The sequence below is a fragment of the Homo sapiens genome, chromosome 17 (assembly GCF_000001405.40).
Source record: "Homo sapiens chromosome 17, GRCh38.p14 Primary Assembly".
In the NCBI taxonomy this organism is placed as follows: Eukaryota; Metazoa; Chordata; class Mammalia; order Primates; family Hominidae; genus Homo; species Homo sapiens.
Genome location: NC_000017.11, coordinates 30338685 through 30364822, shown reverse-complemented (window position 1 = coordinate 30364822; position 26138 = coordinate 30338685). Strand labels below are relative to the sequence as shown.

General features: G+C 41.8%; 1 pseudogene, besides 8 other annotated features; it reads right to left on the bottom strand.

Moving 5' to 3' along the window:
- Positions 864–1103: an enhancer, noted in NCBI's record as "active region_11994". NCBI's record gives its function as "activates an Ori minimal core promoter by ATAC-STARR-seq in GM12878 lymphoblastoid cells {active_cell/tissue: GM12878}" and the evidence as "EXISTENCE:reporter gene assay evidence [ECO:0000049][PMID:35858748]".
- RNU6-990P (RNA, U6 small nuclear 990, pseudogene) lies at positions 4257–4360 on the bottom strand (annotated as a pseudogene).
- Positions 18775–19274: an enhancer, noted in NCBI's record as "H3K4me1 hESC enhancer chr17:28672567-28673066 (GRCh37/hg19 assembly coordinates)". NCBI's record gives its function as "activates a minimal SCP1, AML or CMV promoter by ChIP-STARR-seq in primed H9 embryonic stem cells {active_cell/tissue: H9 hESC(primed)}" and the evidence as "EXISTENCE:reporter gene assay evidence [ECO:0000049][PMID:30033119]".
- Positions 19275–19776: an enhancer, noted in NCBI's record as "H3K4me1 hESC enhancer chr17:28672065-28672566 (GRCh37/hg19 assembly coordinates)". NCBI's record gives its function as "activates a minimal SCP1, AML or CMV promoter by ChIP-STARR-seq in primed H9 embryonic stem cells {active_cell/tissue: H9 hESC(primed)}" and the evidence as "EXISTENCE:reporter gene assay evidence [ECO:0000049][PMID:30033119]".
- Positions 19275–20012: a biological region, named in NCBI's record as "Sharpr-MPRA regulatory region 7119".
- Positions 19718–20012: a silencer, noted in NCBI's record as "tiled region #7119; HepG2 Repressive DNase unmatched - State 1:Tss". NCBI's record gives its function as "represses a minimal TATA promoter and a strong SV40 promoter by Sharpr-MPRA in HepG2 cells {active_cell/tissue: HepG2}" and the evidence as "EXISTENCE:reporter gene assay evidence [ECO:0000049][PMID:27701403]".
- Positions 23232–23941: an enhancer, noted in NCBI's record as "NANOG-H3K27ac hESC enhancer chr17:28667900-28668609 (GRCh37/hg19 assembly coordinates)". NCBI's record gives its function as "activates a minimal SCP1, AML or CMV promoter by ChIP-STARR-seq in primed H9 embryonic stem cells {active_cell/tissue: H9 hESC(primed)}" and the evidence as "EXISTENCE:reporter gene assay evidence [ECO:0000049][PMID:30033119]".
- Positions 23942–24652: an enhancer, noted in NCBI's record as "OCT4-NANOG-H3K27ac hESC enhancer chr17:28667189-28667899 (GRCh37/hg19 assembly coordinates)". NCBI's record gives its function as "activates a minimal SCP1, AML or CMV promoter by ChIP-STARR-seq in naive and primed H9 embryonic stem cells {active_cell/tissue: H9 hESC(naive and primed)}" and the evidence as "EXISTENCE:reporter gene assay evidence [ECO:0000049][PMID:30033119]".
- Positions 24221–24450: an enhancer, noted in NCBI's record as "active region_11993". NCBI's record gives its function as "activates an Ori minimal core promoter by ATAC-STARR-seq in GM12878 lymphoblastoid cells {active_cell/tissue: GM12878}" and the evidence as "EXISTENCE:reporter gene assay evidence [ECO:0000049][PMID:35858748]".

Here is a 26138-nt window from a genome sequence, read left to right as displayed (position 1 = left end):
AAAGAAACACTTTGCAAGGCCAAGGGAAGTGGGCAGATTGCTTGAGCCCAGGAACTTGAGACCAGCCTGGGCAACATGGCAAAACACCATCTCTACAAAAAAATACTAAATAAAATAAAATAAAATAAAATAAAATAAAATTAGCCAGGCATGGTGGCCCATGCCTACAGTCCTAGCCACCTGAGAGACTGGAGTGGGAGGATCACCTGAGCCCAGGAAGTTGAGGCTGCAGTGAGCCATGATTGTGTCACTGCACTCCAGTCTGGGCAACAGAGTGAGACCCTGTCTCAAAAAAAAAGAAAAAAGAGTTCCTTTTTTACCAAATGAAATTTAGACCTGTTCTCCCACATTATTCTTATTTCTAAAATTTCATGACAGATTAATAATAATGAAAAAATTATTTCCATATCATCACCAGTTCGGAGATCAGAATTTGGAACCACTACCAGTAGATAGTACAAAATGGGTTGATAGGACAACCGGGGACAAAAACCCTGAGCCCATTGAAACATTATTCTGACCTATATGACATTTCTTCTGTACTGAAAGCATGCTTGCATTCAGGTATAGATGAATAGCATGCAAAAATATTCTATAGACAGTTATTGGAAGACTGAAGACCAAAGAGTCCTCTCCACCAGAGGATGAGTGAGAGCTGAGGAAACATAATGTTCTCACCCTGACACATTCAGATAGTGCACTTGTGGCTCCCCTGCACCTATGTTCTTATTTGTGTGCCTGTAATGGGTCACCAGTTTTACCAGCAATAGCTCTTGCAATTGTGGCTTACCAGGAGCCAGGAAGTGAAGCAACCCAAGCGTGATGCATCCAGGAGGCTGAGTCTGTGTGGGTGGTGACAAGGTGAGAAGAAAATGTGACAAGTTTGAAACCACAAGGAAATTCAGAGTTGGTTCCAAGGCTTAACCTTTGCATGAAGTTCCAGAAAGTTTTGAGAGTCTGCACAGTGACTAAGCTTCATGTGCCTTCTTAGGCAGTGGTGAGGAAAGAGGTGAATGGGTGCTGCAAACTGAGGTGATCTAGGAGTTCTCAGGGTTTACTTGCAGTCTGCCCACTTCCTTTTTTTTTTTTTTTTTCTAAATTAAGAGAAAGAGACAAGGTATTGCTCTGTCATCCAGGCTGGAGTGTAGTGCTGTGATTATAGCTCACTGCAGCCTCAAACTCCTTGGCTCAAGTGATCCTCTTACCTTCACCTCTCAAAGTGCTGGGATTACAGGTGTGAACCACCGCACTCAGCATCACACTTTCATATTCTTTTTTTTTTTTTAGATGGAGTCTCGCTCTGTCTCCAGGCTGGAGTGCAGTGGCACGATCTCAGCTCACTGCAACCTCAACCTCCCGGGTTCAAGTGATTCTCCTGCCTCAGCCTCCCAAGTAGCTGGGCTACAGGCATGCACCACCACGCCCAGCTAATTTTTGTATTTTTAGCATAGACGGGGTTTCACCATGTTGGTCAGGATGGACTTGATCTCTTGACCTTGTGATCCACCTGCCTTGGCCTGCCAAAGTGCTGGGATTACAGGCGTGAACCACCACGCCCGGCCACACTTCATATTCTTTAAGTAGCATTAAAATGCTTTAATAAATCAGCATGAGAAAGTTTCTTAATGACACATGCAAAATTATTTATGTATTAGAAAAGCAAGATAGTTGAAAGGAATCAGTGTCATGTGATTAATGTGATACTCCTAGTATCTGTATACATATACATCAAATAATACTTTAAATATATTTTCTATGTCATTTCCCCACAGGTAATTATCTGTAATATCGGGGAAATCTATGTTAGGGCACTTTTTAAGAAAAATCACATACTTTCAGAAAAAAATGGCAAATAAGTACGAAAAACCTTTTTACCCTGCATCGGTAGTCCCTCTATGTGCTGCTCAAGGTTTTACTCTGCGCCAGCCTATGCTCCCATGTGGATGCCCTTCTTATCTTGCTTGAGCTCTGATAGCATCAACAGGTCGCCCTCATGCATGGATACCTTCCTCATTTGGCTCAGACTCTGACACTCTGCACTGAGCCACCACTACTACCCTACATGGACACCTGTCTCACCCTATGCAGGCACTCCTTGCACTCAAGCAGCCCTCCAACATAGGTACCCTGCTTAGATTCTGGCACCCTATGCTGGGCTGCACCCCTGAGTGGATGATGCCCTCTTAGGCTCTGACACCCTGTACTGGGTCACACCACCACCCAGATGTCCACCTCTTCGCTCGGCAGCTCTGCTTCCTTATTCACATATGTAGGTCCTATTTTGTAATATCTATAGTTGTTTTACCTTATTTCTAGATTTATATAGATTCAGACTTCATGATTAGCCTTATTAAATAGTTCCCATTTTCTAGTTTTTCATTCGGAAAAGTCTTTTTTTTTTTCTTTTTTTTTTTTTGAGACAGAGTCTTGCTCTGTTGCCCAGGCTGGAGTGCAGTGGTGCGATCTTGGCTCACTGCAACCTCCACCTCCTGGGCTCAAGCAATTCTCCTGCCTCAACCTCCCAAGTAGTTGGGATTACAGGCACATGCCACTGCACCCAGCTAATTTTTGTATTTTAATAGAGACAGGGTTTCACCTATGTTGGCCAGGCTGGTCACGAACTCCTGGCCTCAGGTGATCTGCCCAGCTCGGCCTCCCAAAGTGCTAGGATTACAGGCTCGAGCCACTGTGCCAAGCCTAGAAATGTCTTAATTGGCTAGACTTTATCATCAGGTAGCTTTTTCAACCAGTGTTTATATGTGTTTTACCTGAAGTAAGCCTTTGTCATTTGAGACTAGTTTTTGATGGCCTTATACACAAGTGGAAATTTAGCTGGGTATAAAATTCTTGGGTCACACTGGTTTCTCCTTAGAACTCTGTAAACATTGTTCTATAATCTTTTGGCATGGATGATTATTGTGAATGAGTTTGAGCTCAGCTTTACATCTTCCTATTACAAGTGGCTTGTGTTTTCTACCTAGATACCAATAAGATTATGCACTTAGTTCATGAAGTTTAGTCACTTCATGTAGCTGTGTCACAGTTCTATTCCGCTATGCTAATTTTTTCTACTACACAGTGTATCTTTTTTTTTTTTTTTTTTGAGACAGAGTCTCGCTCTGTTGCCCAGGCTGGAGTGCAGTGGTGCGATCTCGGCTCACCGCAAGCTCCACCTCCTGGGTTCATGCCATTCTCCTGCCTCAGCCTCCCTAGTAGCTGGGACTACAGGTGCCCACCACCATGCCTGGCTAATTTTTTTTGTATATTTAGTAGAGACAGGGTTTCACTGTGTTAACCAGGATGGTCTCGATCTCCTGACCTCGTGATCCGCCCGCCTCGGCCCTCCAAAGTGCTGGGATTACAGGTGTGAGCCACCACACCCGGCCTGTATCTTTTAAATTTGTAGCTTCTGTTCTTCATTTCAGGAAAGTATACCTTTTTTCTTTGAATATTTTTATTCTCCACTTTGCTCTGCTCTCTGCCTAAAGGACACCAAGTATAGATATGGTGGATTTCTGTTGTGCTTTATGAATGTATATAATTTCTGTGACTGAAAAATTCTATGTAGATGTAAGGATCATATTATTATAGGTTTGATCCAAATATGAGAATTTTAACATTCTTTCTCAGTCTAGGTTTCAAATACTAAAAACTTTGCGAATGATCTTTATTTTTTGGTGTATGTATGAGCACACACATGTGAATATGTAGAATATGATATAGTAGGCTAAGATCAGAGACAATATAGTAGTCAATTTATTTTCCAAGAGCTATAGTGAATAGATAATAATTAGAACTATTTTTTATTTAATGCTTAACTATACAAGGCAAGGACATAAGCACTTTGCATATATTTGCTCATTTAATTCTCACAATAAGTATATAAAATAAGTATTATTATGCCATTATTTAACAATAAGGGGACTAAACCTTAGAAGTGTTAAATAAATCTCCAGAGTTTCATTACTACAAAATGGTAGAGTGGGTTCGGAACCTGAGTTTCCCAAAGCAATGGCCACATATTAATCCACTGTATTCTCTCTCTTTTTTGTCTTCTGCTACAGTGGGAAGTCCTGGGGGGAAAAACAAGTTGTGGATGCCTCCAAAAGGTGTTCATATTTTAAGAAGTCAAGGCTGTTGGTTTCCACGAAGTCATGTTATCTTTACAGTAATGTACGTTAGATTGCAAAACACATGAACTTCTCTAAAAAGTAATTGTTAGCCGTTGTCATCCAGTTTTTTCTTTAAAAAAAAAAAGAAACACAGAAGCCTTCACGAATTTGCATGTCATCCTTGTACAGGGGCCATGATAATTTCTGCATCATTCCAATTTTAGTGTATGTGCTGCTGAAGCCAGCACCAGTTTCTTTTTTTCAACTGGTCCATAGGTCCTTTCACTTAATGTTCCCAAGGCACTAAAGTTCAACATATTTAAAACAAAATTCATTGTTTTATTCCTCAATAACTTTGTCTTTCTCTCAATTCAGTTACTGACACTTCCTTCTCCCCTGCTTTCTATGTGTCATTGGTTGTCAACATTTATTACTTCCGTCTTCTCATTATCTCATTCCATTAAGTCTGTTCCTTTCCATTGAAAATGTCACCACCTTAATTCAGCCTCTTATTAACACCGGCCTGGAATATCGTATTGCAGAAGTAACTGACTAGCCTTCTGTCCTCTCATCTTTTTGTCGTTTCTGTTCTTTTATCTCATACATAGGCTCAGACCTGTCTTCCTACAGCAGTGGTTCCAAACCCTTTTGAAAACACTCCGTATCAATACAAATGCTTGAGCATGAATCTCTAGTATATTCATTTTAATTTATTGTATTGTATTGTATTGTATTTTTGAGATCGAGTCTTACTCTGTCACCCAGGCTGGAGTGTAGTACCACGATCATGGCTCACTGAAGCCTTGACCTCCCCATGCTCAGGTTATCCTCCGGCCTTAGCCTCCTATGTAGCTGAGACTACAGGCATGTGCCACCACACTCAGCTAATTTTTGTATTTTTTTTAGAGATGGGGTCTCGACATGTTTCCCAGGCTGGTCTCAAACTCTTAGGCACAAGCGATCTGCCTACCTTGGCCTCCCAAAGTGCTGGGATCACAGGCATGAGCCACCGCGCCCAGCCCAATTTATTTATTTCTAAACGATGTCCACCTATGACTATGTATATATTACACATATACATGTGTATTATATATTACACATATACATGTGTATTATATATTACACATATACATGTGTATTATATATTACACATATACATGTGTATTATATATTACACATATACATGTGTATTATATATTACACATATACATGTGTATTATATATTACACATATACATGTGTATTATATATTACACATATACATGTGTATTATATATTACACATATACATGTGTATTATATATTACACATATACATGTGTATTATATATTACACATATACATGTGTATTATATATTACACATATACATGTGTATTATATATTACACATATACATGTGTATTATATACATGTGTATTATATATTACACATATACATGTGTATTATATATTACATATATACATGTGTATTACATATTAATATATTGTATATATTAATATAAATGTATATTATATATTATTTCTAAATGATGTCCACCTATAACATATATATATTATAAATGTACACAAGTATAGAAATTAAAAGGAGATAAAGAAGAAATGAATATTTTTAATTTAAATTTTTATATTATATATTTGAGGTACAAAAACATTTTTGTTCTCACTATAATTGAGTAAATTCCACTGTTTTAAAAAAAATTGGCTTAACAATTTGTGATGAAATGATTCACAAGTGTGTTTCTAACTTTATTTTGAAAACGTGTTTTAATTGCCATCATAGCTGAGAAATATAGTCTCAAATTTACACAATGCCAAATGCACCACAAACACATTGCTAAATCCTAATATTCATTTCTATCCAGCAGCTATACAAAGTTTAATTGAAATTCAGCCAATAAATCTACTGATGTCCAAGAGTTATTTTTGCAAGCTATTGAAAAGTATTGTAAATCTATGTCTGGAATATTAATAGATTAAAAGACTCTTTCCAAGTTTTTTGTAAAGCATGCAGGTATAAATGTTTCATAGGTAATGATAAAGTTATATCATTTTCAGGAATAAAAAAACAATGTCGCAATTGTGAATGGGAGCTCACTCATGATTTAGCTCTCTGTTTGTCTCTTATTGGTGTATAGGAATGCTTGTGATTTTTGCTGAAGTTGCTTATCAGCTTAAGGAGATTTTGAGCTGAGACAACAGGGTTTTCTAAATATACAATCATGTCGTCTGCAAACACAGACAATTTGACTTCCAGACATCCATTTTCAAAATGCTTTCTTAATTAAAAAAAGAGTTTCTTTGCAAGAGCAGTTACTTTTCTATTCTTTTTCTTTGCTTTTTGAGACAAACTCTCTCTGTCACCCAGGCTGGAGTGCAGTAGCCCAATCATACCTGGAGCTGTGTGTGATCATAGCTCGGCTGCTGCACTCAAACTGTAACCTCAAACTCCTGGGCTCAAGTGATCCTCCTGCCTCAGCTTCCTAAGTAGCTGGGACTACAGGCACATACCACCAGGCCCAGCTAATCTTTAATTTTTTTGTAGAGATGAGGTCTTACTATGTTGCCGGGGCTGGTCTGAAACTCCTGGACTCAAACGATCCTCCTGCCTTGGCCCCCCAAAACAGTGACTTTTCATTCACTGTTAAACACCATTTTTTTTCTTAAAGATATTAATTAAATGTGCTTATTATTGTAATTGTTTTATTATTAATTAGTTGATTGATTATTGTAATTTCTCCTGGTAGCCCAGTTTTTAAATTCATTTGTCATCACAGAAAAGGTCAGAAATTTTTGAACACTAGTCTTTTTGTAAGAGAAAAATTGTGCAGTTCACAGTTCATCTTTTTAAATTGACAATTCTTTTAAGTCCTTTACCCCTCAATGGCCCATAATCCTATTTGATACAATTGATTTTGATGGTCACTCTTCAACTCACTTTACAGTATTATAAGGACTCTGTGATTTATTAACACTGGGCTCTAACCAAGTGAGATAACCTGCCACCCAAGATTCTACTATCTAAAGTTTAAAGGTCTTGTGTTTTTTGTTTATTTTATTTATAAAAATAGCCTAATGACACCCTACAGCACACAAATTCCTCTTGGGAGATCTCTCTTATGATTTATGACACTTGACTCATGTTCAGACAAATGTGGCTTCCAGCATCAGTTGATATATAGGGCATCAGTAAAGTTTAATTCTTTTAAAGAAAAATAAATATAAATACTAATATTTTTTCTGCGGCTCAGGGCAGCCAGCTCCTAATGAATTCCAGGAATTAGCACAAACCTCACTTTGGAGACCACTGTTACAAAGCATCGCTCTGATCCTTTTACTCTTTTGCCAGCAAACCATCGTTATCTATCCATTGGCCATTTATCCATTGATAAAGCCCATGCTCTCTTTTTCTCAATAACATGGTTGCCCCCATCCCCCTGCTGCCTTCTCAGGGGCACAGGTGAGCCCTTTGTAACAGCTACACTTCAGGCTTGGAGACTGGCCCCACTTCTGAACTTTGAGGGACCAACATTGGCAGCTCACTGTTGAACCTGAGCCAGTCAATCTTTCTGCTGTGTGCAGTTTGATCTTAGCATCTTAATTCCCAGTTATGGGTTTCCTGCCTTGTACCCTCATTCTCCAGTGCTTGGGTTTGAGTACCAGACTGAATAATAATAATAATAATAATAATAATAATAATAATAATAGCAAAGACTAGAGAGCTTACTTGCCTACCGTTGTTCTGAATGCTTTACGTATATCAATTTATTGAATCCTCATAACTCTACAAAATAATACTATTAATATCCCCATTTTACAGAAGATGAAACTGAGACACAGAGGTTACATAACTTCACCAAAGTCACTAACGATAAGTGGCGGAGATGAGTGGGTTTGACTCTAGGCAGCCTAACTTTAGAGCCTGTGACACCTGGCTGCTCTGGCCTGCCTCATGTCAGCTTGCCACGGCTGATTATGGTAGGGCTGGAGAGGCATTTCTAAGCCTCTCAGCCAACAGTATTTCTAGCTTTTGGCCAAAAGCATGGCCAAGTTCAATATGATGCAGTGCCGTTTTGGGGTGGATCAGATACTCAAGGTAAAAAACACTGGCACTGGTTGGGAGCTGACATATGAAAGATGACTGGGAGCTGTAGGTGGTTCAAAAGTTAGAGTGAAAAAGAGACACTGGGACTGATTCCAAGGAAAAGGACCTGGTAGCCAAGAAGTAGACTGACAGAGAATATGAACACTAGCCACTAATTATTAATGCTTATTATGTCCCAAACACTGTCCTATTTGCCTTATGTTCATTGTCCCTTTCACTCTCACAATGACCCTGTGAAAGTGTGTCACCATTTTCTAGACAAAGAAACTGAAGCCAGGCATGGGCTCATGCCTGTAATCCCGGCACTTTGGGAGGCAGAGGCAGGTGGATCACTTGAGGTCAGGAGTGCGAGACCAGCCTGGCCAACATGGTGAAACCTTGTCTCTACTAAAAATACAAAAATTAGCTGGGCCTGGTGGCAGGTGCCTGTAATCCCAGCTACTCGGGAGGCTGAGGCAGGAGAATCACTTCAGCCCGGGAGGTAGAGGTTGCAGTGAGCCGAGATCACGCCACTGCACTCCAATCTGGGTGACACAGCAAGACTCTATCTAAAAAAAAAAAAGAAAGAAAAAGAAAAAGAAAAAAAAAGAAAAGAAAAAGAAAAAAGAAAGAAAGAAAAAGAAAAAGAAACTGAAGCTCAGAAAATCTAACTAATTTTCCTAAGCTCACATAATCAAATCAAGTGGTTCCGCTAGGATCTGAATTATGTTTGGTGTGGAAAGGTGCTACAGTCATCAGCCTCTATAGGATTTCCATTAGTTTGTCCAAAGCCACTGATATGGTTTGGCTGTGCCCCCCACCCAAATCTCAATTTGAATTGTATCTCCCAGAATTCACATGTGTTGGGGGAGGGGCCCAGTGGGAGGTAATTGAATCATGGGGGCCAGTCTTTCCCGTGATGTTCTTGAAATAGTGAATAAGTCTCACAAGATCTGATGGGTTTATCAGGGGTTTCTGCTTTTGCTTCCTTCTCATTTTCTCTTGCTGCCACCATGTAAGAAGTGCCTTTTGCCTCCCATCATAATTCTGCAGCCTCCCCAGCTATGTGGAACTGTAAGTCCAATTAAATCTCTTTTTCTTCCCAGTATCGAGTATGTCTTTATCAGCAGCATGAAAACATACTAGTATAGCCACCCTAAATAAATATGCAATTTAAGGAAAAGCAGTGTTGTAACTCATAAACACAACTTCAGCACAAGACCTCCTTCCAACTACACTGCTGCATACTTGAACTGCCCTAGGCTTATTACAAAGGTGGGCTCTTAATGATGGATCTCTATACCTCCTCATCACGAGAAGATCAAAGGGTAAGAAAGACAAGGGTGAAAATACATCTGCAGTCTTCTTCCTCCAACTCCAATTGAGAGCAAGAGACACAAAGAATCAGGAATTGGTTATGATGCCTAGTGGTGGCAGTGGTGGCAGAAACATCTGTTTCTAGGGGCAACTTGAGTTTCTGCAATGGGGCAGTATTCAGTGTTTTGAGGCCCCCATTCCAAGCTGTGGCATTTAGTGGTTCATCAGTAATGGTCTTCCTGGATGGGTTTATGGCAATGTTTAGCCTGTGGTCTTAGTTGCTACTGGGACCTTCTTGTTCCAATCCTTCACTGAACCTGTTTCTTTCTCCTCCTCTACAATATGTCATCAGTAAACTTCCTTCATGCTTAAATAAGCTAGAGTTAGTTTCTGTTACTTCCAACTAAAACCTCTGACTGGACCATGATTAAATTTTCATTTTCAATATTACTATCACAGTGCATCATATTTCCAATTTTTAAAAAAAGGACTAGTAGCTCAAAAGTAGTTCATTAAAATATTCATATAACCCACAGTTAATATAATGCTTAATAGTGAAAGATTGAAAGCTCCCTTAAAATCAGGAACAAACCAAGAATGTTCACTTTCCTTTTTTTTTTCCTTTGGTTTGTTTGTTTATTTGAGATGGAGTCTTGCTCTGTCACCCAGGCTGGAGTGCAGTGGTGCAATCTCAGCTCACTGCAACCACCACCTCCCAGGTTCAAGCGATTCTCCTGCCTCAGCCTCCTGAGTAGCTGGGACTATAGGCGCACGCCACCATGCTCGGCTAATTTTTGTATTTTTAGTAGAGACAGGGTTTTACCATGTTGCCCAGGATGGTCTCGATCTCCTGACCTTGTGATCCACCTGCCTTAGCCTCCCAAAGTGCTGGGGTTACAGGTGTGAGCCACCGTGCCTGGCCAGAATGTTCACTTTCTATTAAACATTGTGCTGGATATTCCAGTCAGGTCAATTAGATAAGAAAAAAAAAAAAGACATCCAGATAGGAAAGAGAGAAATAAGACTATCTCTATTTGTAGATGACATGATTTACTTTTACGTATAGAAAACCTTAAGGAATCCATTATAAACCTATTAAAACTAATAAACAAGTTCAGTAAGGTTGCCAGATACAAAAGCAACATGCAAAAATTAATTTTATTTATATACACTAGCAAACAACAATCCAAAGATGAAATTAAGAAAACAATTTCATTTATAATGGCATCAAAAAGAATAAATAAACTACTTAGGAATCAGTTTAACCAAAGAAGTGCAAGACTTGTACACTGAAAACTACAAAACACTATTGAAAGAAATTAAAGAAAACCTAGACATCCCATGTTCATGGATCAGAAGACTTGATATTGTAAGATGCCAATACTTCAAACTAATCTATATATTTAATGCAATTCCTATCAAAATACTAGCATCTTTTCTTGTGGAAGTTGATATACTAATCCTAATATCCATATGGAAATGCAAGAGACTCAGAAAAGCCAAAAACAACCTTGAAAAAGAAGAACAAAGTTGAAGGATTCATGTTTCCTGATTTCAAAACCTAGTATAAAGTTACAGTAATCAAGAGGGTGCTAATAGCATAGGGATAGACATATAGATCAATGGAATGGAATTGAACATTCAGAAATAAACCCTACTATTTTTGGTCAATTGATTTTCAGCAAGGGTGCCAAGACCATTCAATGGGGGAAAGAATAGCCTTTTTAACAAATGGTGCTGGGTCAACTGGATATCCACAAGCAAAAAAATGGATATGGACTCCTATCTCACACCACAGGCAAAAATTAACTTAAAATAAATTCTGGGTCAAGCATGGTGGCTCACACCTGTAATCCCAGCACTTTAGTGGGCCCAGGCAGGTGGATCACCGGAAGCCAGGAGTTCGCGACCAGCCTGGCCAACATAGTGAAACCCCGTCTCTACTAAAAATACAAAAATTAGCTGGGCATGATGGCAGGAGCCTGTAATCCCAGCTACTCAGGAGGATGAGGCAGGAGAATCACTTGAACCCAGGAGGCAGAGGTTGCAGTGAGCTGAGATCACACCATTGCACTCCAGCCTGGGCCACAGGAGTGAGACTTCGTCGCAAAAAATAAATAAATAAAATAAAATAAAATAAATAAATAAATCTGGTCCTAAATATAAGAGTTAAAACTATAAAATTCTTAGAAGAAAATATAACCTTGGATTAGGCAATGGTATTTTAGATATGACACCAGAAGTATACATGACAAAAGGAAAAATAACTGTTAAGCTTTTTTACAATTAAAAATTGTGCTACAGGCCAGACGTGGTGGCTCACGCCTGTAATCTCAGCACTTTGGGAGGCTGAGATGGGCGGATTGCCTAAGGTCAGGAGTTCAAGACCAGCCTGGCCAACATGGTGAAACCACGTCTCTACTAAAAAAAAAAAAAAAAAAACACACACACACACAAAAATTAGCCGGGCATGGTGGTGGGCACCTGTAATCCCAGCTATTCGGGAGGCTGAGGCAGGAGAATGGTTTGAGCCCGGGAGGTGGAGGTTGCAGTGAGCCAAGATTGTGCCACTGCACTTCAGCCTGAGTGACTGAGCAGGACTCTGTCTCAAAAAAAAAAAAAAAAAAAAAAATTGTGCTGTGAAGCCTCTATCAGGCTGGGCATGGTAGGTAGTTCATGCCTGTAATCCCAGCACTTTGGGAGGGCCAGGCTAGAGGATTCCTTGAGCCCAAGAGTTCCAGAACAGCCTGAGCAACATATGGGGACCCCCATCTCAACCAAAACAAATTAACAGTTAGCTGGGTATGGTGGTGCATGTCTGTGATCTCAGCTACTGGGGGTTGGGGGCTGGGTGGTGCTGTCTGAGGTGGGAGGGTCATTTGAACCCAGGAGGTCACGGCTGCAGTGAGTCATAATCACACCACTACACTCCAGCCTGGGTGACAGAGCATGACCTGTTTCAAAGGACACTATCATGAAAGTGAAAAGAAAAGACAACCCACAAAATGAGAGAAAACATTTGCAAATCATATATCTATTAAGGGATTTGTATTTAAAATATATAAAGAGTCTTACAACTCAACAATTAAAAAAAAAACTTAAAATGGTCAAAAGATTTGAATGGACATTTTTCCAAAGAAGGTATACAAGTGGCCAAGCAGCACATGAAAAGATGTTCAATGTTATTACATATTAGGGAAATGTAAATGAAAACCTCAACGAGATTGCTAAAGGGTATGACGTTTCTCTTGTGGATGATGAAAATGTTCTAAAATTGATTGCAATGATGTTGCACAACTGTGAATGTAGTAAAAACCATTTAATTGTATACTTTAAATGGGTAAATTATATCTCAGTATGTAGGTAAATTATATCTCAATAAAGCTGTACCAAAAAAAAAAAAAAAAAAAAACCCTCACAGTGAGATGACACTTTATACTTACAAGGATGGCTAAAATAGAAAAGAGACAATAACAAGTGTTGATGAAAATGTGGACAAATTGTAACCCTTGTACATTGCTGGTGGAATTGTTAATGGTACAGTCACTATGGAAAACAAGTTAGGTGTTCTTCAAAATGTTAAACATAGAGTTACTATATGACCCAGCAATTGCACTCATAGATATATAGCCAAGAGAAATGAAAACACATGTCCACAAAAAAACTTGTACATGAATGTTCATAGTAGCATTATTCAAAATAGCCAAAACTGGAAGCAATACAAACATCCAGGATGCACAAATTAACAAAAATGTGTTATATCCCTACACTGAACAATACTAGGCCGTAAAAAGGAAGGAAGTCACATACTGCAATATGGATGAATTTTGAAATCATCATGCTAACTTAAAGAGGTCAGATAGAGGCCGGGAGCAGTGGCTCTAGCCTGTAATCCCTGCACTTTGGGAGGCTGAGGCGGGCAGATCACAAGGTCAGGAGTTTGAGACCAGCTTGGCCAATATGGTGAAACCCCGTGTCTACTAAAAATACAAAAATTAGCCAGGCATGGTGATGCACACCTGTAGTCCCAGCTACTCAGGAGGTTGAGGCAGGAGAATCGCTTGAACTCAGGAGGCAGAGGTTGCAGTGAGCCAAGATCACGCCACTACACTCAAGCCTGGGCGACAGAGCAAGACTCCATCTCCAGAAAAAAACGGCCAGGCATGGTGGCTCACGCCTGTAATCCCAGCACTTTGGGAGGCCGAGGCGGGTGGATCACGAGGTCAGGAGTTCAAGACCAGCCTGGCCAACATGGTGAAACCCTGTCTCTACTAAAAATAAAAAAAAATTAGCCGGGCGTGGTGGCAGGCGCCTATAGTCCCAGCTACTCGGGCGGCTGAGGCAGGAGAATAGTGTGAACCCGGGAGGCGGAGCTTACAGTGAGCCCAGATCACGCCACTGCACTCCAGCCTGGGCGACAGAGTGAGACTCAGTCTCAAAAAAAAAAAAAAAAAAAAAAAAAAAGAGGTCAGATAGAAAAGACCACATATTGTGTGACTACATTTAAATGAAATGTCCAGAATAAGCAAATCCATAGAAACAGAAAGTAGATTAGTAATTGCCAGGGACTGTAAGGCAGAGGGAGAAATAGGGAGTCAATGCTTAGGGATGCAGAGTTTCTTTCTGTGGGGATGAAAATGTTCTAACACTAGTCAGGATGCTTGCACAATTCTGTGAATATATTAGAAACCACAGAATTGTATTCTTTAGAAGGGTGCATTTTATGTATATTAAATCCGTTGAAGTTTTTTTAAAAATCATGAACATAGGAATATAAATACCACAAATCATAACAGCATTATAAAGTTAAATAGTGACCAGATGCAGTGGCTAACACCTGTAATGCCAACAGTTTGGGAGGCCATGGCAGGAGGATCACTTGAGGCCAGGAGTCTGAGACCAGCCTGGGAAACACAGCAAGACTCCATCTCTTAAAAAAAAAAAAGCTGGGCATGGTGTTGCATGCCTGTTGTCCTACCTCCTCAGGAGGCTGAGGCAGGAGAATCCCTTGAGCCCAAGAGTTCCAGGCTGCACTGAGCTATGATCAAGCCACTGCACTGTAGCCTGGGCAATGGAGTGAGACCCTGTCTCAAAAAAACAAAAGTTGGCCGGGCACAGTGGCTCATGCCTGTAATCCCAGCACTTTGGGAGGTGGAGGCGGGTGGATCACTTGAGGCCAGGAAGACCAGCCTGGCCAACATGGTGAAACCCCGCCTCTACTAAAAATACACAAATTAGCCGGGTTTGATGGCTCTGTAATCCCAGCCACTCAGGGGGCTGAGGCATGAGAATCACTTGAACCTGGGAGGTGGAGGTTGCAGTGAGCTGAGATCACGCCATTGCACTCCAGCCTGGGCTACAGAGTGAGACTCTGTCTCCAAAAAAAAAAAAAAAAAAAGGCAAATAGTGAACAAACAGGACTCTACTTAAACTGTAGTGTGACCCTGTATGTGATAGGATAAGCCTCTGAAAATATGATTCTTTTACATAAATAGTTCAAAAATAACAGTATAGTAGTAAAAGGGCTGATGAGTGTCCAAAAATTGGATTTTACCGTGTGTGATGGTTAATTTTACATGTCAACTTGACTGGGCTAACAAATGCCCAGATAGCTGGTAAAACATGATTTCTGGGTGTGTCGGTGAGGTGTTTCTGGAAGAGATTAGCATTTGAATCAGTAGACTGAGTAAAGATCTGTCCTCACTAATTCCATGGGTATCATCTAACTCATTGAGAGCCGGAATAGAACAAAAAGGTGGAGGGAGGACAAATTCTCTGTTTGAGCTGGGAAGTACATCTCACCTCTCTGTGGATATCAGCACTCATGGTTCTCAGGTCTTTGGACTTGGACCAGGACTTTATACCATCAGCTCCCTGATTTTTAGGACTTTGGACTCAGGCTGAATTACACTACCAGCTTTCTTGGTTCTCCAACTTGGATCTCCAAATGACAGATCATGGGACTTTTTGGCCTCCATCATCACATCAGCCAATTCCTATAATAAGTCTCTTCATTCATAGATAGAGACAGAGACAGGGAGAGAGAGAGATCTTGTTGGTTCTGTTTCTCTGGAACCCTGACTGATACACTGGGCTAGCAATGTATTCATCTCTACTTCTCAGTGTATTGTTTGTTTGTTTGTTTGTTTGAGACGAAGTATCATTCATTCTGTCACTTAGGCTGAAGTGCAGTGGCACAATTTCAGCTCATTGCAACCTCTGCCTCCCAAGTGGAAAGGATTCTCCTGCCTCAGCCTCCTGAGTGGCTGGGATTACAGGTGTGTGCCACCACATGTGGCTAATTTTTTCATTTGTGGTAGAGACAGGGTTTCACTCTGTTAGCCAGGCTGGTCTTGAACTCCTGGCCTCAAGTGATCTGCCTGCCTCGCCTCCAAAAGTGCTGGGATTACAGGTGTGAGCCACTGCGCCCGGCCGCTCAGTGTATTGTTTATTATGAACTTGTTCATAAGCCACCCATCCTTTTTTAGTGTCTTTTTTTTCTTTTCTTTTCTTTTCTGTTTTTTGAGATGGAGTCTCGGTCTGTTGCCCAGGCTGGAGTGCAATGGTGTGATCTGGGCTCATTGCAACCTCCGCCTCCCAGGTTCAAGCAATTCTCTGCCTCAGCCTCCAGAGTAGCTGGGATTACGGGCTCCCCACACCATGCCTGGCTATTTTTGTATTTTTAGCAGAGATGGGATTTCACCACGTTGGCCAGGCTGGTCTTGAACTCCTGACCTCGTGATCCACCCACCTCAGCCTCCCAGAGTGCTGGGATTACAGAGCCACCACGCCCGGCTGCTCAGTATTTTTTTTTTTTTTTTTTGAGATGGAGTCTTACTCTGTCGCCCAGGCTGGAGTGCAGTGGGGCAATCTCGGCTCACTGCAAGCTCTGCCTCCTGGGTTCACGCCATTCTCCTGCCTCAGCCTCCTGAGTAGCTGGGAATACAGGCACCCGCCACCACAGCCGGCTAATTTTTTTTTTTTTTTTGTATTTTTAGTAGAGACGGGGTTTCACCTTGTTAGCCAGGATGGTCTTGATCTCCTGACCTCATGATCTGCCCGCCACGGCCTCTCAAAGTGCTGGGATTACAGGCCTGAGCCACCGGGCCCAGCCCAGTGTATTGTTTATAATGAACTTGTTCATAAGCCACCCATCCTTTTTTAGTGTCATTTTCAAACAAAATACGGGGACCTCTCCGAAAAGCAATGATACTTTTTTCCTAGAATAAGAACAAAATAATACTTTTCAAGGTGAAAATTTTATATCTAAAGGCAAAGACAAGACCAAAAGTATAGCCACATCATTGATATCTATATTTCTTTAGCAACAAAAGCTATAAATCACTCTAGTGCTAAAAAAGTATTAATCTATTTACAAAGCTAATGACACATTTTATGCTTGAAGAGAAAGCAAACAGACGTCCTTTATCTGGTGACAGTCTAAGCTGTTGCAAAAATTCAACAACATACAATGTGAAAGAGTCTAAGAACATACAGGATAAAACCAAACTCCGTTTCGCCTGTACTCTCACTTAGTAGTCAACACAGAAGACGTCTCTGACCAAATGTGGGAAGGGCTTCCCCACTAATAAGCAGGCAATCAATTCTGCAGCAGACACCAGCTGGGTGTCCTCTAATTCAATTCAAACCTGGAGAGATAGCATCAGATCTCATAGATTGAGGGCTCAGTCCCTAAGCCAGTCCCCCATTTCAGATGCCAATTGCAAGCCTCACATTGTTTTATATGTGCTTCTGACAAACTGCCTATAAATTAGGATTTCCACCATCCTCTCCTGGGGTTAGAATACCGTGTTAGAGTGGCTCACAGAACTCAGGGAAATATTTATGTTTACTGGTTGATATAAAGGATATTACCAAGGGTACTAATGAACACCAGATGAAAAGATGCATAGGGTAAGGTTTGGGGGAGTGGGTACAGAGCTTCCATGCCCTCTCTGGGCACCATCTTCTAGGAAACTGCATGTGTTCGGCTATGCAGAAGCCCTCCAAACCCTGTCCTTTGGGGTTTTTATGGAAGCTTCATTAGGTAGGCATGATTGATGAGATCATTGGCCATTGGTAATCAACTTAACCTTCAACCCCGTCTCCTCCCTGCAGGTTGGGAGGTGGGACTGAAAAGTCCCAACCCTCTCTAATGCTGCCTTGGTCTTTCTGGTGGTCAGCCCCCAACCTGAAGCTACCAAGGGGCTGCCAGCCACCAGTTATCTCATTAGCATACAAGAAGACACATCACTTTGGAGAGTCCAAGGATTGTAGGAGATGTATGCCAGGAAAGGGGATGACGATATATTTCATAATATCACAAGGAGCAATTACTATCCTAGAAGATATTTCCCTTCACATGGGAAGGAAACAGCTGATATGCTGAGCATAAGTCAGCCTTTGCGATATGTGTCCCACATATATGAGAGAAAAGTACGCAATAATGCTTCACTCTATTTATCACTGCAGACTCATGCTATGGTAGAAGAGATTTTTCATCTGTAACAATTAAAATGTATGTTGGAGTCAGTACTGATGGAACCCTGGCCATGTGTCTAGCAAAGAAGGGTGTTAGTAACCCTAACATTCCTAGTTAGGAATAAAAGTTTGCTCCTGAATGCCAATCACACACTGCTTCATTCACAGAGAGCAAGCACCTTGACCTTGAACCAGGGTTGAAGTTTGCAAATATGATCAGTACACAACCATTAAATGACTTTTCAGCATGTTGTGAGAGGAAACAGGCAGTGAGCACAAAATTTTGCTTTTCCCCTTGGAAGCATGTTACCAGGACACTCTCACAAATTTTTTCAATAAAGGAAGTGATTTATAGTATTTCTTTGTAGACGCTCATGATGCTTGTAAACATGTTTCTCTACTTTCACATGAGTTATCTCAGCTCTGTAGTCACATTCCTGCATGACCTGAACCTATTACTTCAGGACTGATTGAGCAATGAATTTTAAAAGTCAAGAATGAGAATAAACTAGCAGAGTTTTTTAAAGAAGATATAAACCTGTATTAGTTACGTATTGCTGCATAACAGAGTATCCCAAAACTTAGCCGCTTAAAGCAAACTTTTATCATCTCATGGTTTTTGTGGGTTTGGAATCTGGGTGCCAGTTATTAGTCGGGTGACTCTGGCTCAGGATTCCTCATGAGGTTGTGATCAAGCCATCAGCTGAAGCTGCATCATTTCAGGCTTGATAGGAGGAAGATCCATTTCCAGCTCACTCAGGTGGCCATCTGCTGTCTTTCCTCAATGTTGTCTGGAGAAGTCCGTTCCTTGCCAAGTTAGCCTCACAACATGGCAGCTGACTTCTCCCAGAGCAAGTGTGCCAGAGAGCAAGAGAAAACACAGCCTTGTAACCTCATATCAGAACTGATAGCCCATCACTTCTGCCCCATTCTATTTGTCAGAAATGAGTCACTAGGTCCAGCCCACATATAAGGGGAGGAGTTTACCTCTAGGGCATGAATATTAGGAAGCAAGGATCATTGGGGCTCTCTCAGAGTCTGCCTCACACAGTATCCATATACTTCTGTGAACCAGGTGAGCTAAGATACAACAGGTCTTAGTCAGCGAAGCTTTCAAAGGCCCCTCCGTCCAGCATGGCCTGCATCCTCAGTGTTCAGTGATCCAGTAGGCAGAACTTGACCAGCCATGTTAGGGGTTAGGTGATAAGTGCAAGGGCTGGGCTCCATGGCTCATGCCTGTAATCCCGGCACTTTGGGAGGCTGAGGCAGGAGGATGACTCACAGCTAGGAATTGAAGGCTGCAATTAGCTATGATCACACACTGTACTCCATCCTGGGTGACAGAGTGAGATCCTGTCTTTAAAAAGTTAAAAATTAAAAAAAATAAATAAAAGAGATGGGTACAGGGCCTAAGTAAGCTGGATTGTGACTTAAAAGGCTGGTGTCCTCAGGTACACGTCTATTACAGAGCTGGTGGGTTTCCCCCGGCCTTTTTCAGCTGGCATGGCTGTAAGCTTGTTCTTCCTTCCATGGTAGGGACAAATGTTGCCATACCAGTCCTGGGCTGACTATCTCTGGACTTCTTAAGTATAAGAGAGAAAATACATTCTCATTTTTGTTTAAGCCATTTCTACATTTTTCTACTATGCCTAACTGAATGTAATCCTACCTAATGATGTGGCTTTGTTCAAGTCCAAATCCTAAACTTATGCAATTCAAATCTAGTCTTGCTGTGTCCTGAGCTGCCCCACTACTTCCTCCTAGATGCTGCTTCTAGTGGAGGACGTATTGTCTCTAAGTGTAGGACAAAAGTTATGCAAACATTGCCAGGTTTCCACTGATAATGGGTAAGGACCAGGATGTGTTGATGGACTGTGTCCAGAGTATGTTGCAATTTGCAGACAGCTGTATGCTCCCGCTGAACCACAGGGTTGGCCCTGGAGTGGGGCAGGGGCTAGTCCTCTGGTTCCTCTTCAGGTAACAGGACGAGCAAGAGGCTGTGGGGCCCTGATCTAAGTTCTCCTGCCATCTGCCCTGGGTGCTGCCTAAGTCCAAAGGCCTGACAGTTACAAGACCTGTACATTAAGTCCCTGTCTAACTGAGATCTGCAGATCCAGCAGGTAGCTTTAAAAACAAGGAGTAGGAGTGGCCAGGGATGAGGAAGTGCAGATAAAAGACAAACGAGTTCTGAAAGTAGGCAGGCAATGGACACAAATAAAAAAATCTATATAGGCTGGTGCAAGTGCAGTGGTGTTTACAACGAATCGATCACTACCAGTTACAGATTTCTTTGTTCCTTCCCTATTCCCATTGATTCACTTGACTGGCCTTAAAAAAAATCTGTATAAAGCACCAACGTGGACAGTGTTTGCGTTGTGTGTGCAATGCCAGCCAGAGGCCCTGGGAAAACAAAGGCCATGACTGTTTTCTTTCACTGCCTCTGCTCCGTGGTGTCAGTGACTTTATCTAGTGAAACCCATACCCAGGCTTACACCAGGGCTGTGCTCAGCTCCCACTCTCCTTTTCATAGCATGCCAAGAAAATCACTTGCCTCAGGGCACCCATAGGGGCATTTCCAAGGTATTTTGAGCCAATTATAGCAGTGGAGAACCAAGGGTATCCACCAATTTCTTAGACCCAAAGTATTCCTATTGTAAAATATATTCCCTGCCTTGTGGAAAGGGCAGGAATTCACCTTAGAGAACAAGAAATTGTCAGCAAAAAATCTGGACTGTGGATATTTTTTCAAACGCTTCTGAACTAAATTTAGCTTTAATTTGTCACACTAGCTAGGACTCGCTCCATTAACTTCAGTCTAATTTCCTTTAGTAGATGCAGGCCCAAGAATGCTTCTAGTTCAAAATCCGTATTTCCCAATATTAGGCAGAAGGGCACCCACTGGCCCAGAAATGGTCAGTGTGGGAGGATCAGTATGGAGTGGAAGGTCGTGGACCCTCAAGTTAGACATCCCTGTAATGAAGTCAAGACTTGCACACTGAAGTCCAAAGATATCTGTAGTTGTGGAACAGAAAACAAAGGTGTATGTGTGTTACTTATAGTTACAAAGGTGTAGCTGAGGAATTTAAAATACTGATAAAACCTTAATGGAAAGCAGTTGGGGAGGTAAAAGGAAAATGTTAGGGTACTAGATCCTCATCTTTCATAGCAGGAGGTCAATTAATAAATCAATAAGTGATGGTATACAGGCAGGGCACGGTGGCTCATGCCTGTAATCCCAGTACTTTGGGAGGCTGAGGTGGGCAGATCACTTGGAGCCAGGAGTTTGAGACCAGCCTGGCCAACATGGCAAAACCACATCTCTACTAAAAATATAAAAAAGTAGTTGGGTGTGGTGGCATGCACCTGTAATCCCAGGTACTTGGGAGGCTGAGGCATGAGAAACACTCAACCTGGAAGGCAGACATTGCAGTGAGTCAAGATTGCGCCACTGTACTCCAGCCTGGGTGACAGAGCGAGACTCTGTCTCAAAAAAAGAAAAAAAGAAATGATGAGTTTTCTTTAAAAACAAATATTTATGATGTGCCAAGCACTGTTCTAGACATTGAGGATATAGCCATAAAATAAACAAAACAAAGTTGCTGCACTCCTTATTCTAGTAATAAGCTGATTAGTGAAATATAACAGTATTAAGGTGACTAACAGAAGAACTAGTTAAAAGTCTTAAAATAATTGTCTTGGGGAGCAAACTTAGGGGAAGGAAGAGGGAGAGAGAAACAGGGCAAAGAATTGTTTTTCCCAACAAGCCCTGTTATTCTATTTGATTTTTTTAATTTGATTTAAATTATTAACAAGATATTCTACTACCTACTAGCTGTATATCCTTAAATAGATTATGGAAATTCCCTTGGCTTTAGTTCTTTCCCCTGGAAATTGGGGATAATAATCTCTCGCTCAAAGACTATTCATAGGCTGGGCGCAGTGGCTCACACTTGTAATCCAGGCACTTTGGGAGGCCAAGGCAGGAGAATCGCTTGAGGTCAGGAGTTAGAGACCAGCCTGGCCAACATGGTGAAATCCCATCTCTACCAAAAATACAAAAATTAGCCGGGCGTGGTGGTGTGCACCTGTAATCCCAGTTACTCGGGAGGCAGAGGTATCAGAATTGCTTGAACCTGGGAGGTGGAGGTTGCAGTGAGCTGAGATCGTGCCATTGTACTCCAGCCTAGGTGACAGAGTGAGACTCCATCTCAAAAAAAAAAAAAAAAAAAAAGACTAAAGACTGAAGTAGACACACAAACGTCAGTCCCTCCCTGACGTTTCTCATTTCATATTTTGCAGCTCAAGGTTTTCAGGCTGAGAAGTGACATCCATTGTTGGGTCTGGCCTCAGCAAGTCACATGACTTTTTGGGACCTGTTTCTGTCCATCTGACACAAAGATGCTCATCTCAAGTTTCTCCATATGCCAGAGGAACAGGTGTAGGTTGGTGAGAACTCAGGGAGGCCTTTGAACTTCTTGAGAGAACACTGGCCACATCTTAACATGGTTTCCATTTGGAGGAGACCATTCAATTGTTGTATTATTGTCTTTGCTGTTCACTTGGGGATATATAGGGTAATCTGCTGGCCTGACTCTTATTGCCTCAGAAGGTTTCACAATTAGGTACTTCATCCCTGAAACACTGAGGGTCTCATGATGTAAGGGAAAGAACAATTATGAATTCAAGAAAGAGAGAGATCACTGTCTGAGATCAGGATGTAAATAGTAGGAAAACACTAAAGCTGTCAGCACGACAGAGCAGGGAGATCCAAGCTGGCTATAAAGGGAAAGTGTACATATGTGATTCTTTTTGTGTTTATGCATACACATAAATATGCAGGAGGAGTGCTTGCAGGTTCTGTGCTGTGTGCGTGTGTGTGTGTGCATGTGTGTGTGTGTGTATGTTAGCGGTGAGGTTCAGGCAATGATGTGCTAGTAAAGGGTTAACAACCAGCAGTGCGGAGAGCCCTGATTTTTACCAATTGCCAATTTCAGTGGTGTAAATACTCCCACTGTGGCTGATTTCAAGCTATCAAGTTGAAGTCACTGAGTGCAGAGCTGGGAAGAGACACAGAGTCAGCTCCCACCAGTCGATGCAAGCCAGTTCCAGAAGATTGCTGGTTGCAAGTTTCCAGCACTGCCCTCTTTCAGAAATGGAAAACCTCCCAGCTCCTTCCATGCATCTGCTTCTAAAGGTGTGGATATTGCTTTTGCTTTTATTCCAGAATCCATTCATATCTCCCAAACAGAATTGTTATTTCCACCTTGGTTATTTACTCCTTTGTAAAGTTCGTAGCTCATCACAACTCATAGAAATTCTGGAACTAGGCCGGGTGTGGTGGCTCACACCTGTAATCCTTGCACTTTGAGAGGCCAAGGTGGGTGGATCACCTGAGGCCAGGAGTTCGAGAACAGCCTGGGCAATATGGTGAAACCCCATATCTACTAAAAATACAAAAATTAGCTGGGCATGGTGACTTGTGCCTGTAATCCCAGCTACTCAGGAGGCTGAGGCACAAGAATCCCTTGAACCTGGGAGGTGGAGGCTGCAGTGAGCCAAGATCACACCACTGCACTTCAAAGCAGACTCTGTCTCAAAAAAAAAAAAAAAAAAAATTCGGGAACTATAGTGTGGTTTCCCCCCTCAAAATCTACACAATTGTTGGCAAGACCATTTGTTTATTCAGAAAGCAGTGAACAGGATGCTACAGAGCTGTCAGTGAACCACCCTGCTTCTAAAGATTTGGCAAATTCCTGCTGGCTCAGGAAAGCTCCCAGCAGGCAAGAAGAGGGGGCTCCTTCACGTCTGGTGCCCCCACAATTCCAGCTCTTTGGAGATCAAGTGACTACCTTGTTCTTTGGCCCACGTACGGAGCTTTTTCTCATCCCACAGGAAATCCCCTCTTATTAGTTTCGAGGGGGGCTTCCCTTTGAAACTCTCCCCATTCTCTTTTCTCTTCTCTGAAATCCTGTAAACTAGAGCCAGAGAGGACTAGATCCAAGCCCTATGCGGCCTGATGTTTTTACAGTTGATGGTGGTGGTGGTGGTGGAGGGGAATTCCTTTAAGGAAAAAAAAATACAAAACTACAAATATAAAGTGACTAAGGTCAGGGCCTTTAGAACAGGCCTATGCAAATGAGGGTCCCTGAAGCCGAAGCTTCATTAGCTTCCAGTAAATATGCCCCTGGAGCCAGACTACACTCCAAAGGAAATTGGATGTTTGCCTGATGACGGTGGGTGGTGGAATGTCCTGTGTGTTCTTCCTTTTAGATGAAGAGGAAGCTTTAGAACCCTGCTGTGTTCCCACTTGAAAACCCTGTCTTCAAGACTGATCCTGGAGGACATCACCCGCCTTCTTCTGAGGGAGCCATTTTATTCTGTATTGCTCCTGCTGTGTCACACGGCCACTCCCGGACTGCCTGGTATGAGATAGACCAGTGAAGTCTGTAACAGACAGAGACCTGCTCCAAGGAAATATCTTGTCTAACCCCTAGCAGGCTAACTTCAAAATCACTGTGTATGAAAAGGGACCTCTAGTGGTCAACTGCAAAAGTCACATCTCTGCTACCTTCTACCTATTATTGTGTAGGTGTTTCCGCTGTCAACTCTGGGTCAGTCCCAATAGGTGGAGGAAGCGGAGGAATTAAACACCGACAGATAGTTTCTTGCTTGCTGTCAGTCTGGAGGCAGGAAGCTTTGGGGGAAAGGGCATTGGTTGTGGGAGCATTTTCACTTGGGTTACTCTTTTATTAGTTTTATCATCTTAACCCTGAGAGCTGGCTACACCTTGGTTTCCTCACCTGTAAAATGGGGATCATCATAGGCACTTTCTAGGTGGATGTGAGGGTTGAATGGTAGAACATGTGTAAAGGGCTAAGCGTATAATAAGTATCTGTTTAAAGTTGGTTCTCCTGGCTGGGCGTGGTGACTCACGCCTGTAATCCCAGCACTTTGGGAGGCCGAGGTGGGTGGATCATCTGAAGTCAGGAGTTCGAGACCAGTCTGGCCAACATGGCGAAACCCCGTCTCTACTAAAAATACAAAAGTTATCCAGGCGTGGTGGCGTGCACCTGTAATCCCAGCTACTCGGGAGGCTGAGGCAGGAGAATCACTTGAACCTGGGAGGCACAGGTTGCAGTGAGCCGAGATCGCACCACACTGCACCCCAGCCTGCGTGACAGAGCAAGACTCCATCTCAAAAATAAATACATAAATAAATAAATAAATTTAGTTCTCCGACTCCTCCCTTCAAATGAAAAATTCATGGAGGGCAAAGAAGAAAGGAGGATATAGGGTAGCTCAGAGGAGTTTTTGTTTTTGATATAGGTAGGTTGCAGAGCATAGGATGATGTCTTAGTCCACTCAGGCTAAGATGGGAGACCATCTCCCCAGAAAAATACACATATGCACACACACACACACACACACACACACACACATACAGTTTTGCCTACAATTTCAGCGGTTTCATTGACACTCTAAAGCTCATCCATAGTAGTTCAAGAAGCCAAATTTTAAAATTCTGAAGTTAGACACTTGGAAAAAGATGCCATGTGGCAGCCAAGCGTCTTGAAAGAATTCCAATCCATGCTCTGCCACTAAATAGCTGTGTTACTTTGGACAAGTCCCTTTACTTCCCTGAACCTCATTTCTTCATGTACTAAAAAAGGGAGAAGACAGATGGAGAACTGCCAGATAAAAGACAGGATGCCTTGTTAAATTTGAATTCCAGAGAAACAATGATGTTTTAACAAATGAGTCTTAAAATATTTGCTTGTGATGAATTAGCACATAGTAGTTACCTAGGACATACTTACACTAAAAAGATATTTGTTAGTTATTTACTAGAAATTCAAATTCACCTGAGTGCCCCGTATTTTTATTTGTTAAATCTGGCAACCCTATTCAGATAGCCCTTCAGGTATTGCTTTAAGGTTTAAGATTTCTGGTGATGGAGGAATCCTAATAAAGGGGAATGAGAGGTTGGAGAATCACTGATTGTCGTTTAAGCTACGACCAGGCCAGGTGCGGTGGCTCACACTTGTGAGCCTAGTAATTTGGGAGGCTGAGGAGGGAGGATCACTTGAGATCAGGAGTTCAAGACCAGCCTGGGCTGGAGAAACCTTGTCTCTACCAAAAATACAAAAATTA